This window comes from Homo sapiens, chromosome 1 (genome assembly GCF_000001405.40).
Source record: "Homo sapiens chromosome 1, GRCh38.p14 Primary Assembly".
NCBI classification, from domain to species: Eukaryota; Metazoa; Chordata; class Mammalia; order Primates; family Hominidae; genus Homo; species Homo sapiens.
This window is the reverse complement of record NC_000001.11, coordinates 229,438,837-229,453,806: the sequence shown is the minus strand read 5'-3', so window position 1 is coordinate 229,453,806 and position 14,970 is coordinate 229,438,837. Positions and strand designations below refer to the sequence as shown.

Sequence of the window (14,970 nt, the reverse complement as noted above, 5' to 3'; positions counted from 1 at the left end):
CACAGACCTCACATAGCACCATTCACAGTGGAGGCAAATGTAAACAATGTAAATAGGCAGCATTAAATCACAGAATTAACTAATACATACTGTACTTACTGTAATAATTTCATAGCCACCTCCTATTGCTATTGTGGGCAAGTGTCCGCTTGCTGAAGTGTTAACAGTATTCAATTAAAACCCCAATTAAAGTGATGATCCAGTTAAAATGATTCTGATCATCTCTGTTTGAGAAGTTTGTCTACACCCCAGTAAATTGCCTATTGCAGCAAAAAGTAAATTTCCTATTGCAGTAAGAAGTGATTTCTCATAGTTCTCGAGTATTTTTTCCTGTGTTTAATGCAATACCATAAACCTTAAATAACACCTTGAGACTCATATGAAGTGCCACTAGGTGATGCTAGACATGCTCCCAAGAAGCCTAGGAAAGTCGTGACATTACAAGAAGTGGAATTGCTTGATATGCACCACAGACTGAGGTCTGCAGTTTTGGCTATCCCCATTTCAATATAAATTAGTCTAGCTTAATGACCATTATTTTTTAAAAAATGGAAATTTGTGAAGCTGGCAGCAGCAGTTAAGCTTTTGGGGAGTCGAAAGTTACCCTCCCAACACTTTGGGAGGCTAGAACAGGAGGATCACTCAAGCCCAAGAGTTTGAGACCAGCCTGGGCAGCATAGCAAGACCCCATCTCTTTAAAAAGTTATGCTGGGATTTTTGACAGCACGGGAGCTTAGTGGCCCATCCCCCTTGTTATTCAAGGGCCAACTATATACTATAAATTCTAGTGGGAAAAATTTTACTGAATTATAAAATATGATGGAGAGATCTCCACACTTAGGAAGCTTATACCTCATGAAATAGCTATCTGCTCTCCAACTTCTTCAAGCATTGAACGTATTTCCTTACTTGTTCTCTTCCCTCCTATTTCTCGTTGCTGTGATAATTCTTAGGACTTTGATCAAACCATGGATATGTTGTAAACATAACCGGCAATCAAGAATAAGAATTAAAAGCATTCTGAGATCATTGAATAAAGATAGGTTTACCTCTGGAGCTATTTTTTTCTTTTAAAATTCAGATTTGTTTTATGACAGCAAAAATGAGAGCAAAAGTCAAATTTCATCATATTCTCTTTCCCTCCCTCTCATCTTGAATACTAGAAATGGCTGAGCAGGAGCGCTTTCTACTGCATCAGGAGACCCTACCTGAACAGCTGCTGGCGGAGAAACAGCTAAATCTCAGTGCGATGCCAGTATTGACTGCACCACAACTCATTGGTGTATGTGCTTTTCAAATCCTTAACGCTATTTCTTAAACTCAAAACCTTTTTGGTGTTTGTTGGGCCATGTAGTATAGTTCCTAAGAGGAGTTATTGTTCTACTGCCTACCTTCCAGAAAACTCCCCTAGAAAAACGTTGTTTGAAGCTGTTTGGGAACAGAAAGCTAATTAGAGAAAAATTAATCAGCATCTGCCTCCCCATACACCTCCACCTAAAGGTGCTTTATCTAGGTGACCAGGAGAAATTACTTATATTTTGCTTTTCTAGTATAGGACAAATAAGTACCATGAGATAACTTTATTTCCCCCACAAAATTACTTTTCAAGCTCTTCTATAAGAAAAAATGGATTAAGGAACTCAGTTTACATGGTCTAGCAGTTCTGTCCTTACCCCTTTCCTCTGCAACCCAACACATCCCCGAGGGCAGAGCCAGAATACGGACTGCAGTCTAGAGAAGAAGCATCTCTTTGCCAGAGTGATGTAGGATCACCTTAAATGTGTTCTATCTATATGAAAAGGCAAACAATTAAAATACATTAGCATTTTAGCCATTATTAGTAACAGATTTCCTGTTATAACTGAATTTACAACAGCCTCTCCTGATAGAATATATATTTAATTTGGAAATGGAAGTTACTCTCTATTGTAACTCACTATTGAGTATCACTAAGAAAAAAGTAGTGCCGATTTTACTCTAATGCATTATTAATTTTAATACCACAGTCCAATTTCAGAGATGGTGGAGTAAAAAGGATGTTCAAGAACAACAAAATAAAACTATTATCTTTTGAGTGCTGTAAGACAATGAACACAAGCAGATAGCTTTTTTTCTGAAATGGTCTGAGTATTGTTGCTATTAAAGGATTACACATACAATTTTTAAAAAATGAAATTATAGTTTTTGGGAAAGGAAGATGGGAAAAATTCAAATTGATATTTTTAATAAGGCAAGTATTTTTCTGACCATAAAAATTACAGGAAATTTGAAGAATACAGAAATGAGTATGCAGTCAGCTGTAATCTAACCAGGGATAAGTGTTGGTAACATGTTGATGTGTTTTTTTATTAAGTGAATATAGATCAACTGTACACTTTATTGTAGGTCTCAATTTTTTTTTAGAGACAAGATCTTGGTATTGCTCGGGCTGTCAGGCTGGAGTGCAGTGGCCCTGTCACAGCTCACTGCAGCCTTGACCTCCCAAGCTCAGGTGACCCTCCTACCTCAGCCTCTGGAGTAGCTGGGACCACAGGTGTGCACCACTGTACCCAGCTAATTTTTATACTTTTTGTAGAGACGAGGTTTCTCCATGTTGCCCAGGCTGGTCTCGAACTCCTGTTCTCAAGGAATCTGCCTGCCTCGGCCTCCCAAAGAGCTGGGATTATAGACATGAGCCACTGTGCCGTGCCTAAAATATGCATTTTTTAAAAAGACAGTTTATTTTAAGGTGGATGCAATACAGTTTCCAAATATGAGACTGTTTTTACTATAAAAATACAACTGGCCAGGTGCAGTGGCTCACGCCTAAAATCCCAGCTCTTTGGATGGCCAAGGCAGGCGGATCACTTGAAGTCAGGAGTTTGAGACCAGCCTGGCCAACAGGGTGAAATCTTCTCTACTAAAAATACAAAAATTAGCCAGGTGTGGTGATGGATTCCTGTAATCCCAGCTACTCAGGAGGCTGAGGCAGGAGAATCACTTGAACCTGGGAGGCAGAAGTTTCAGTGAGCTGAGATCGTGCCACTGCAATCCAGCCTGGGTGACAGAGCAAGACTTTGTCTCAAAAAAAACAAACAAACAAACAAACAAAAAACAAACTACAACTTCCTTACAAGACATAATGACTTCTTTTCTCCATAAATGTCTCTAGTATTAGTTACATGATTGTATAATCTTCTACCTTATTTTAACTTGTCATAGCTATATATCTGTGAAGAAAATAGAAGAGCTAATGAATATGATTTCAAGAAAGCTTTGGACTTGTTGGAATATATTGATGAGGTAAGTAAAATTGCTTGAGATGATCTCAGGCAACTGAATACATATATAAAAAGAGGGAGATCCCTCTTTTAGTCAATCATGAAAATGAATTAAGCAAAAAAGACTGTATCTGTGGTTCAACTACCTTTAATCCTTAGAATGTAAACAACTCTTCAGAAAAGCTGTCAAGGTCAAGAGACTCCCTTTTGTGATAATTCTCACACATTCCTGGGTATCTTTTTTTGTGCACAGATAAATACTGCTTTTCAAAGTCCTGAAATATTTTTTTGTCTTTCATTTATTAAGTCATTAGTTTCTGAAGGTAATATACGACTTTATCAGTTTATTCTGGCTGGGTGCAGTGGCTCACGCCTGTAATCCCAGCACTTTGGGAGGCCGAGGCAGACAGATCACCTGAGGTTGGGAGTTTGAGGCCAGCCTGGCAAACATGGTGAAACTCCACCTCTACTAAAAATACAAAAAAATACAAAAAAAAAAAAATTAGATGGGTATGGTGGCGCACGCCTGTAATCCCAGCTACTTGGGAGGCTGAGGCATGAGTCTCTTGAATCCAGGAGGCAGAGGTTGCAGTGAGCCAAGATCATGCCACTGAACTCAAGCCTGGGCGACAGAGTGAGACTGTCTCAAAAAAAAAAAAAAAAAAAAAAAAAATATATATATATATATATATATAAAATCTTCATAGTATTCATCCTAAGAGTAGCTGTTTCTTGTGTTTCAACAGGTTATAGTGAAAATTCTGTAGGATAAGTAGTTCTATTACCTGTCGATGCAATTGAAAGTAATTTGGTAGATTTTAGAAACATAATATGTTGACTTTTACATTACCTTATTTTAAAATCTTACCCCTCTCAGGCCGGGCGAGGTGGCTTACACCTGTAATCCTAGCACTTTGGGAGACCAAGGTGGGCGGATTGCCTGAGGTCAGAAGTTCGAGACCAGTCTGGCCAACATGCTGAAACCCTGTCTCTACTAAAAATACAAAAAAAATTAGCTGGGCGTGGTGGTGTGTGCCTATAATCCCAGCTACTTGGGAGGCTGAGGTAGGGGAATTGCTTGAACTAGGGAGGCAGAGGTTGCCATGAGCTGAGATCGCGCCACTGCACTCCAGCTTGGGCGACAGAGCGAGACTCCGTCTCAAAAAAAAAAAAAAAGAAAAACTCTTACCCCTCTCAAGGTTGCTGATAAAATCATCATCACCACAGAGTAACCTGAAAGTAATTCATAGATATTAATTGGCTTCTATGTATGTAGTATTAACATAATGAAAATTTAGGCATGTATTTCTTTCAGAGCCAGGATTTAATCAGGATTTTTTTTGTTTTGCTGTGAAGGAAGAAGATATAAATATAAATGATCTAAAACTGGAAATCCTTTGCAAAGCTCTTCAGAGAGATAAGTAAGTGCTCGTGGCATTGCTTCTTTGGAAAGTATAGAAACTGCTTTTCCTCTGCTCTCACCACATGACAGTCAATAACAGAAGACTTCTGTGACCAGACGTGTTGGGATTTCCCACCTCCTACACTGGGCAACCAGTGAGTTCTGTTGGTGGGCACCAGCTGAATGTCCTTTAATTTAGTTCAGTCCTGATACAATCTACAACCACAGGTTGAGGGCTCAGACTGCCCCTGACTTTGATGCCAATTTAAGCACCAGGGGGTTTTGCCTGTGTTCCTCACCGACCAGCTATAAATTGGGGTTCCCACAACCCCCTCCTTGGGTTTGATTAATTTGCTAGAGCAGCTCATAGAACTCAGGAAAACACACCTACCAATTTATTATAAAGGGTGTTGTTACCAGAGAGCGGTCCCGATGACCCCAGGAGAGGCTTCTTGGATCTCGTGCAAGAAACAATTTGGGGCAAGTCCACAGAGTAAAGTGAAAGCAAATTTATTAGAGAAGAAAATAAAAGAATGGCTACTTCTTACACAGAGCAGCGGCGTGGGCTGCTTGACTTGAGTATACTTATGGTTATTTGTTGATTATGTGCTAAACAAGGGGTGCATTATTCATGAGTTTTTCTGGAAAGGCATGAGACGTTCCCAGAACTGAGGGTTCCTCCCCTTTTTATTTTTATTTTTTTATTTTTTTATTTTGAGACAGAGTTTAGCTCTTGTTGCCCAGCCTGGAGTGCAGTGGTGCGATCTTGACTCACTGCAACCTCTGCCTCCCGGGTTCAAGCAATTCTCCTGCCTCAGCCTCCCAAGTAAATGGGATTACAGGCATGTACCACCAGCCCTGGCTAATTTTGTATTTTTAGTAGAGATAGGGTTTCACCATGTTTGTCAGGCTGCTGTGGAACGCCAGACCTCAGGTGATCTGCCCACCTCAGCCTCCCAAAATGCTGGGATTACAGGCGTGAGCCACCACGCCCGGCTCCTCCCGTTTTTAGACTATATAAGGTAACTTCCCAACGTTGGTTGCCACAGTCTTTGTAAACTATTGTGGTGCTGGTGGGAGTGTCTTTTAGCATGCTAATGCTTTGTAATTAGTGTATAATGAGCAGCGAGGACGACTAGAGACCACTCTCTTGGTTTTGGCGGGTTTTGGCGGGTTTTGGCTGGCTTCTTTACCACATCCTGTCTTATCAGTGGGGTCACTGTGACCTGTGTCTTGTGATACCAGTCCTGCTGACCTCCTGTCTCATCCTGTGACTAAGAATTCCTAACCTCCTGGGAATGCTGATTCTAACGCATCTGAAAGTATCACATAGAATACAGATGAGGAGATCATGGGGTGAGGTATAGGGGAAGGGGCTTGGAACTTCCAAAGCCTCTCTGGCCCTCCACCTTCCAGGAACCTCCACGTGTCAGCTATCAGGAAGCTCTTCAAACCCTGTCGTTTTGTGTTTTTATGGAAGCTTCGTTATGTAGACATGATTGATTAAAGTTGGTGACCAATTTAACCTTCAGCCCCTCTTCCCTCCCTGGATATTGAGGAACAGGGCTGAAAAGTCCCAACTCTAATTATGCTTTTTCTGGTGACCAGCCCCTATCCTGAAGCTAGCTGGGGGCTGCCAGCTGTCAGCCAACTCAATAGTATTAAAAAAAAAAAAAGACATCTATGGAGATCCTAAGGATTTTAGGAGTTGCAAAGCAGGAAGTGGGGTGAAGAAGAAGACCAAATACATATTTCACAGTATTACAGGAAGATTATGATATTATATGTCAAATGGTTTTATAACCTTCTAACCATATTGTAACATACATATTATGAAAATTTTAATGGTTACATTAGTAATATTTATTTAGTCTTGGTCTTCTCTATTTTAATAGTTAAGAATAGCAAGAATAGCCTAAAGACTTAGGACCACTCATATAATAAATCACTACTTTTGATTTTAAAATTTAGGTTGTCAGTTTGCATAGAAATACACATCCCTTATTTTCTTTCTTTTTTTGTGATGGAGTTTCACTCTTGTTGCCCAGGCTGGAGTGCAATGGCACAGTCTCGGCTCACCACAACCTCCGCCTCCCGGATTCAAGTGATTCTCCTGCTTCAACCTCCCGAGTAGCTGGGATTGCAGGCGTGTACCACCACGCCTGGCTAATTTTGTATTTTTAGTAGAGACAGGGTTTCTTCATGTTGGTCAGGCTGGTCTCGAACTCCTGACCTTGTGATCTGCCTGCCTCGGCCTCCCAAAGTGCTAGGATTACAGACGTGAGCCACCATGCCCGGCCACATCCCTTATTTTTGCAGAAGTGAGGCTTGTCATGCCAAACGAGACTCGAAGCTATGATTTTGTTTTATTTATTTATTTTTATTTTTTATTAAAAAAAAATTTTTTTTTTGAGATGGAGTCTGGCTGTGTTGCCCAGGCTGGAGTGCAGTGGCACAATCTTGGCTCACTGCAAGCTCCACCTCTCGGGTTCATGCCATTCTCCCGCCTCAGCCTCCCGATTAGTTGGGACTACAGGTGCCTGCCACCACACCCAGCTAATTTTTTTTAATGTATTTTTAGTAGAGATGGGGTTTCACTTTGTTAGCCAGGATGTTCTCGATCTTCTGGCCTATTTTGTTTTTTAAGTTACTACAATTTGAGGGTCAGTGCCCTTTTCTAAGGCATTAAGTACTACTTTCTCTTTTTTTTGTTTGTTCGTTTTGTTTTTTGTTTTTGAGACAGAGCCTCACTCTGTCACCTAGGCTGGAGTGCAGTGGCTCAATCTCGGCTCGCCGCAACCTCCGCCTCCCAAGTTCAAGCGATTCTCCTACCTCAGTCTCCCAAGTAGCTGGGATTACAGGCATGCGCCACCACGCCCAGCTAATTTTTTTGTATTTTTAGTAGAGACCGGGTTTCTCCATGTTGGTCAGGCTGGTCTCAAACTCCCAACCTCAGGTGATCTGTCTGCCTCGGCCTCCCAAAGTGCTGGGATTACAGACATGAGCCACCGCGCCTGGCAAGTACTACTTTCTCACAATCATATCCTTTCTGCAGAGGAGGACTTCCACCTATGGAAATGGTGTTTATGTTACGATTCAATGACAAAGACTAAGAATAATCAGTTGAAGGAACAAATTCTTTCCAGGAAAAGAATTTTAAACAAAGCATGAATTGACTGCTAAAAGCCTTCTCCTACTCACAATTTTCCTTTTTCCTGTGGTAAAATATTATAGAAGAGCTATTTTTACTAAAGCATTTCTTCCCTCCTCTGATCATTCCAAAATAGTTAAAATTGCTGTTAAGTTTAGTCTTAGAGGTCAGTCCCTGAAGCTTCTAGCTTTCTGCCTACTTGATTGTTTGGTCCCATCCCAGTCATACAAAAGGATGCTATCATTTTGATTAGAATTCCTTGTCTTAGTTTCTTGTTTAAAAATTTTAAAGTTATCATGTCCATTGATTACAGAGCAGTGGTTTGGTATTTTTATTTTAGTAGTAGATAGTCACAACTACATAAAGAAAGCTTCTGGCTGGGTCCAGTGGCTCATGCCTGCAATCCCAGCACTTTGGGAGGCCAAGACAGGAGGATTGCTGGACCCCAGGAGTTCAAGACCAGCCTGGGAACATAGCGAGACTTTGTCTCTACACAAAAGTAAAAAATTAGCCAGGCACAAAGTGGTTGCATGCCTATGGTCCTAGCTACTCGGGAGGCTGAGGTGGGAGGAACACTTGAGCTGGAGGAGTTCGAAGCTGCAGTGAGTCATACTTTGGGGTCCATACTGAATATGTTACTTACTAATAGAATTTTCTTCAGAAAGATACCTCACTACTTGGTTTCTGAAATCAAATAGGTAAGAGTTATATTGAGTCAGTAGCTACCTTGAGTATAACATCTTTTTTTAAATGTGTTTTCCTTGGCGTCTCTTGCATGTTCCCTAGAGTGTAATGTCTTATATCTAATGTAGAAACTGTCAGGGTATTCAGCATGTAAAGTGCCTTTATTTAAATGATTTGAAACAGTATCACAAAACTCAGATTCTCCATCCCCCACAGCCATCAAAATAAAACCATGATAGCAAACAAATCATTTAATTCAGCTATATCAGTGATTTCATTTTTCCCTCATAATGATTTTGTTTTCTAGCTGGTCCAGTTCTGATGGCAAAGATGATCCAATTGAAGTATCTAAAGACAGTATATTTGTGAAGATCTTACAGAAACTTTTAAAAGATGGTAAGTGGTTTGTTACTATACCGTTGGAAATTACAGTGTCATTCCTCAGTTTTTTGGGTTTTTTTTTGAGACGGAGTCTTGCTCTGTCACTCAGGCTGGAGTGCAGTGGTATGATCTCGGCTCAGTGCAGCCTCCACCTCCCGGGTTCAAGCAATTCTTCTGCCTCAGCCCCTGGAGTAGCTGGAACTACAGACCTGTGCTACCATGCCTGGCTAATTTTTGTATTTTTAGTAAAAGCAGGGTTTCACCATATTGGCCAGGCTGGTCTCGAACTCCTGACCTCATGATCCACCTGCCTTGGCCTCTGTCTAAAGAAAAAAAAAAAAGAACCAAGAAGCTTTCATTTGGAGTCTGTCCACACTGATCTCCAAGCATTAGTATTCAGATTTGTAGCTTCCTTTCATAGCTGTAAAAATGCCACAGACTGAATTGTGTCTAATTAAGTATCTAGCACTAATATTTAAGGGCAGCTTTGCAGTTTTTGTTATTCTTAGTGGATTATAAAACAGGTGAAAAACAGGAATGGAAAGTCATAATTTCATAAAGGACAAGAACAGTGGAAACTTTTTTTTTTCTTTTTTTTGAGACGGAGTCTCATTCTGTTGCCCAGGCTGGAGTGCAGTGGCTCAATCTCAGCTTACTACAACCTCCACCTCCTGGGTTCAAGTGATTCTCCTGCCTCAGCCTCCTGAGTAGCTGGGATTACAGGCACGCACCACCATGTCTGGCTAATTTTTGTATTTTTAGTAGAGACAGGGTTTCACCATGTTGGTCAGGCTGGCCTCGAACTCCTGACCTCGTGATCTGCCCGCCTCAGCCTCCCAAATTGCTGGGATTACAGGCATGAGCCACCACGCCCAGCTGAAACTTTTATTTAAATAAAAATATAGGCAGGTGCAGTGGCTCACACTTTGGGAGGCCAAGGTGGGAGAATCACTTGAGCCCAGTAGTTCAAGACCAGCTGGAGCAACATAGGGAGATCCTGTCCCTATTTTAAAAAAAAAAAAAAAAAAAAAAAAGAGTTGAGCACAGGGGTGCATGCCTGTGTTTCCAGCTACTGGGGAGGCTGAGGTAGGAGGATTGCTTGAGCCCAGGAGGTGAAGGCTGCAGTGAGTTCTGATGGTGCCACTGCACTTCAGCCTGGGTGACAGAGCGAGACTCCGTCTCAAAAAAAAAAAAAAAAAAAAAAATTATATATGTGTGTGTATTATATATGTATATTTTACATATATAAGGCGTGCGGTTTTTTAATAACAGGACAAATGTACTTTTGGAACCTTCTTAATATGGCTTTCATGTACAATAGTGTTTTTAAAGGACAGATTCTGAAGGTAGGGAGATACAGATAACCTTGCATTATATTTCATAGGCATTGACAGTGCAACAGCTACTTCAGCCTGTGCATTCTTCCTGCAGACATATTTAAATTACCCACAAGGTTTGTTTTTACATGTTACCTGAAATACATTATACATACAGAACAAAATGCATGTCTCATTAAATGGAGTTTAAATTTTTTTCTAGTTAGTCACCAACATTTAATAGTTGAGAATGGTGTTATAAAAGTCTTATTTTGCCAGGCACGGTAGCTCACGCCTGTAATCCCAGCACTTTGGGAGGCCGAGGCAGGAGAATCCCTTGAGCTCAGGAGTTCAAGACCAGCCTGGGCCACATAGCAAGACCCCCACCTCTACAGAAAAAAAAAAAAAAATTAGCTAGGCTTCGTGGTGCATGCCTATAGTCCCTGCTACTCAGGAAGCTGAGGTGGGAGGATCACTTGAGCTCGAAAGGTCAAAGGATTGAAGCTACAGTGAGCTACGATCGTACCATTCCACTCCAGCCTGGGTGACAGAGTGGAGACCCTGTCTCAATAAAAAATAAAAACTACAATTAAGAACCAAAAAATAGGCTGGGCACAGTGGCTCATGCCTGTAATCCCAACACTTTAGGAGACTGAGGTGGGTGGATCACTTGAAGTCAGGAGTTCAAGACCAGCCTGGCCAACATGGTGAAACACCATTTCTACTAAAAATACAAAAAATTAGCCGGGTGTAGTGGTGGGCACCTGTAATCCTAGTTACCGGGGTGGCTGAGGCAGGAGAATCGCTTGAACCCAGAAGGCAGAGGTTGCTGTGAGCCGAGATCGCGCCATTGCCTGGCCAGCAGAGTGAGACTCCGCCTGAAAAAAAAAAAAAAAAAGAACCAAAAAATGATGCAAGGCCCTTTGAGTTTTTTTTTTAAACCAGTATCTGATTTTGAGAATCTTATGGTAATGTAACAAATTATAAAAATATTATTGGCTTATTAATTTGAAAATTTTCATCCAGTTTTCTCTATTTGTCAAATGAGAAAATTGTGTATGTTTGTTTGTAACTACACAGATGTCAAACAATCCATTTAGTTCATGTTCACTGTCTTTTCAGCTCTATGGATGACTTGTGAAGAAATGATTCTTTTGCCTATCTAATTTTAGATTTATACTGTAAACACATTTTGAGATCCTGTAGCTAGCGTTCATAACAGTGTTTCTACTAAATTATTCCCTAAATAGGGGATCATATAAGTGTTTGAAATACTTGTTTTCAAGCTTGGGAATACATGAAAACGTTTCAGATCTTATTAAACACTTTAAATAGAATGGCTATTTTGACCACTGGAGGGAAAAACACTCAGGCAGCCCCTGTAAAGGATATCACATTGTTAGACTTGAAAGTATGTTTGACAGATGGAAGGAATTTAGAAGAGAGTATTTCCCAACAGCAAAGTGACGTTATATTTAAATAGAAGCACAGGTGCTTTTGTCATCAATCATCAGAATTCATTTGAGCATTTTATAATAATTGAAAAATGACTTCTTGTGTTTGTGTTTATAGGCATTCAGCTCAGTGAGTACTTACCGGAGGTGAAAGACCTGCTACAAGCGGATCAGCTTGGAAGCTTAAAGTCCAATCCTTACTTCGAGTTTGTTTTGAAAGCAAATTATGAATATTATGTTCAGGGACAAATATAACTTTTTCTAAAAATGGCCATTGTTTATGAAATCTGTATAAGTGTGTCCTTATACAAATTTTAGGCCATAAACAAGTGTAAGTTTGTACAATTTCATAACATGTATAGCTGAGTTTTTATACTTTATATGTAGGAAGCTAATATAAAATAGTTATGTAACTGTGATTTTGGTTTTCAGTTATGTGACTTGTTTTTTCCACCTGAAATGTGTCAGTTGTTGTTCCTGTACTCGGTGCCCTTTCTTTTTACTCTCACGTGGTCCCAGGTTCTGGAGTTCTTGTCCTGGTTCTAGCTGCTCACATGTACAAATCACTTCTAGGCCTCAGTTTCTGCGACTATGAAAATTACTAGATTGCACTAGCTTGTCTCTAAAATTGCTGTGACTCCAGATACTTTGCACTGAAGAGAATCTAGGGTGTTTGATATCTGTTTCAGTTAGGGCTAATGGGAAATGTCTAGTAAGATAAATGTCAACTTTTGCTGACTTATTATGAGATGAAAAACCAAAGGAGAGTGGGCCTAACTCATGTGAGCTTGATAACTGATGAACTCATTGGGAGCATTTTAAACTTTTCTACATAAATAATAAATGAGCACTAATGAAAGTATTTTAGTGAATGAAACGTTTATGTGGTTTTCTAACCTATCTAGAAATTACTGTTGATGTTTAGTTCTAATCTTTCAGTGTGGGGATTCAGCCAGCCTCATGTATTTTCAGAATGACTCATGAATCTTTACCACAGTCTGCCTAGCTAGTCAAAAGCATGAATGATACTAGAAACCATTATAGGTTTTCCTAATATGGCAATTGATGTGACTGAAAGGTACTGTACTCTCAGAGCTTTGTCCTGACCAGTGTCATCACTCACTCAATGTTTATCTGGGTTTTAAATAAAGGCCAGAGGTTGGACAGGGAGTTGCTGGCATGTCCGCGGCTTGGCCCAGTAGAATGCCCACTAACCATCTTGCTCCAGCAGCTGAAAAGGTCAGAAGTTAAACATGGTGAAGAGTCCGGTTCCTGGATTCACAGAGCCCAGCATCAGGCCGTCTCCCCCGCAGGCTGCAAGGCCAGCCCTTGAGTATGTTTGGAAGAGCAGGTTAATGGAGCTGTTTGTAAATCAAAGGGAAGAAATTAGCAGCCTGTTCTTTTTCTCTTTGCAGCTTGTATGTTAGGACAGCATTAGGGTCTGGGTTAGGAACATGTTGGAAGGTACTAAGAGAAGTTAGGAAGAGCAGCTTGTCAGATGGCCAGTAAGAAACCGCTGAGTACTTGTATCGTAAGATGAGGCTTTGCTTTTACGTGGAGGTCAGCTGTCAGTGTTCACGTCTCACCTGTAGGACCCTGTCGGGTGATAATGTGCTGCGAGACACACAGGCTCCCATCTCCCTCCCGTGCTGCTGCAAACCTGGTGATCCCTGGTGTATGGGACAGTACCGCAGGAAAGCCCATCTGATCATGCCCCAGAACCCACTGATCGCGTGGACGTAGAACGACTGCTCTTACCGTGTGAAGTAGAGTCATCCTGTTCAAGGGAAGAAAAAGCTCCCTCTTTTAATCCTGTTTCTCTCTAAGTTAGTAGCTATTACACCCAAATGGTTGAGTTTTTAAAAATTATTTTAACAGTAAAAATGAAATTAAGACCTAGGATTTTGAATAATTTTTTCTCTAGAATTTTAAAAATTGGTTTCACAACGTAGTCTTCATCAACGAGTTATTAATGGTTTTTATATAAATCAAGTAGCTGATAAGTATACAGATGCTGTGTTGACATTTCTGTGGAAAGAGATACTTTACTGACTTGGAAAAGGTTCGTGATCACACCTGTCTATAAGTGCTGCCCTGAGAGTCCCAGCTTGGGACCTTGACAGAATACAAGAGTAAAGTGTCGTGTGCGATCCTGAGCAGAGGGGAGTGTACGCAGGCATGGAGACTGGCGCGTCTGGAGGATTTGTGGACAGAATGGTGTCAAGGATTGCAGCAGACCTGGAGATAGACAGTAAAAACTTGCTGAACTCCTGAGTGAGGTAAAGGCTACTGACGCCTCTCTTTGAGGGCTTTCATTTTTAATGATTGAACTGTGTTTCTTTTTTTACTTTAGGGGCTGAATCGTAGTTTTCCTACCATCACCCACCTACATCCTACACACCTGGACATTTTGAGGCTAACTACAAAAGCAGTGTAGCCTGTTCCTGACATTTTATCCTGAGGATGCGTGAAAAAAAAAAAAAAAATATATATATATATATATATATACACACACACACACCCGTGTAAACAAATCCACTCATTAAAAACCAAGATACATTTAAAAAAAATAATACTGGGTCAGGTATGGTGGCTCACACCTGTAATCCTAGCACTTTGGGTGACCAAGATGGGAGAATCGTTTGAGCTGAGGAATTCACAACCAGCCTGGGCAACACAGCAAGACCCTGTCTGTACAAAAAAAATTACAAAAATTAGCCAGGCATGGTTATGTGTGCCTGTAGTCCTAGCTACTTGTGAGGCTGAGTTGGGAGGATTGCTTGAGCCCAGGAGTTTGTGACTACAGTGAGCCATGATCACACCACTGCACTCCAGCCTGGGTGACAGATTAAGACCCTGTCTCAAATAATATTATGTAATTCTAAATTTTAAGAAAAACACTGTAGAAAATGAAAAAGAAAATAGACCTCTGTAATCCCACCAGCTGGAAATAATTAGTCACCATTATGAAATAGACTTTTGGACTGCATATGCTTTTTCATTTTGTAACCTACTTTTCTCATGGGAGATGTGAGCATTTTGCTGTATCCTTAATCCAGTGTTTCTTGACCTTTTTTTTTTTATCACCCCTCCTGAGGAGCCTTTTTAGACAGTTTTTCCTAATCACCTCCCACTCCAAAGAAAGTGTAATACCACAGACCTACTATATATCATTCATTCATTCATTCATTCATTCATTCATTCATTTGGAAATGGAGTCTTGCTCTGTCACCCAGGCTGGAGTGCAGTGGCGCGATCTTGGCTCGCTGCAACCTCTGCCTCCTGGGTTCAAGCAATTCTCCTGCCTCAGCCTCCCGAGTAG

At 40.7% G+C, this 14,970-nt stretch overlaps 1 protein-coding gene across 1 annotated transcript in view, besides 4 other annotated features; it reads left to right on the top strand.

Moving 5' to 3' along the window:
* Positions 1 to 13,548, top strand: part of NUP133 (nucleoporin 133) — a 68,083-nt gene extending 54,535 nt beyond the window's left edge. The window contains exons 22-26 of the mRNA NM_018230.3: positions 1,164 to 1,282; positions 3,202 to 3,282; positions 4,617 to 4,681; positions 8,805 to 8,893; positions 11,767 to 13,548. Coding sequence (NP_060700.2) covers positions 1,164 to 1,282; positions 3,202 to 3,282; positions 4,617 to 4,681; positions 8,805 to 8,893; positions 11,767 to 11,903 — 491 coding nt within the window. The 3' untranslated portion in view covers positions 11,904 to 13,548. The remainder of the gene's footprint in view (positions 1 to 1,163; positions 1,283 to 3,201; positions 3,283 to 4,616; positions 4,682 to 8,804; positions 8,894 to 11,766) is intronic.
* Positions 5,751 to 6,045: an enhancer, noted in NCBI's record as "tiled region #12306; K562 Activating DNase matched - State 5:Enh". NCBI's record gives its function as "activates a minimal TATA promoter and a strong SV40 promoter by Sharpr-MPRA in K562 cells {active_cell/tissue: K562}" and the evidence as "EXISTENCE:reporter gene assay evidence [ECO:0000049][PMID:27701403]".
* Positions 12,736 to 13,276: an enhancer, noted in NCBI's record as "NANOG hESC enhancer chr1:229576278-229576818 (GRCh37/hg19 assembly coordinates)". NCBI's record gives its function as "activates a minimal SCP1, AML or CMV promoter by ChIP-STARR-seq in naive H9 embryonic stem cells {active_cell/tissue: H9 hESC(naive)}" and the evidence as "EXISTENCE:reporter gene assay evidence [ECO:0000049][PMID:30033119]".
* Positions 12,834 to 12,893: an enhancer, noted in NCBI's record as "active region_2701". NCBI's record gives its function as "activates an Ori minimal core promoter by ATAC-STARR-seq in GM12878 lymphoblastoid cells {active_cell/tissue: GM12878}" and the evidence as "EXISTENCE:reporter gene assay evidence [ECO:0000049][PMID:35858748]".
* Positions 12,954 to 13,003: an enhancer, noted in NCBI's record as "active region_2700". NCBI's record gives its function as "activates an Ori minimal core promoter by ATAC-STARR-seq in GM12878 lymphoblastoid cells {active_cell/tissue: GM12878}" and the evidence as "EXISTENCE:reporter gene assay evidence [ECO:0000049][PMID:35858748]".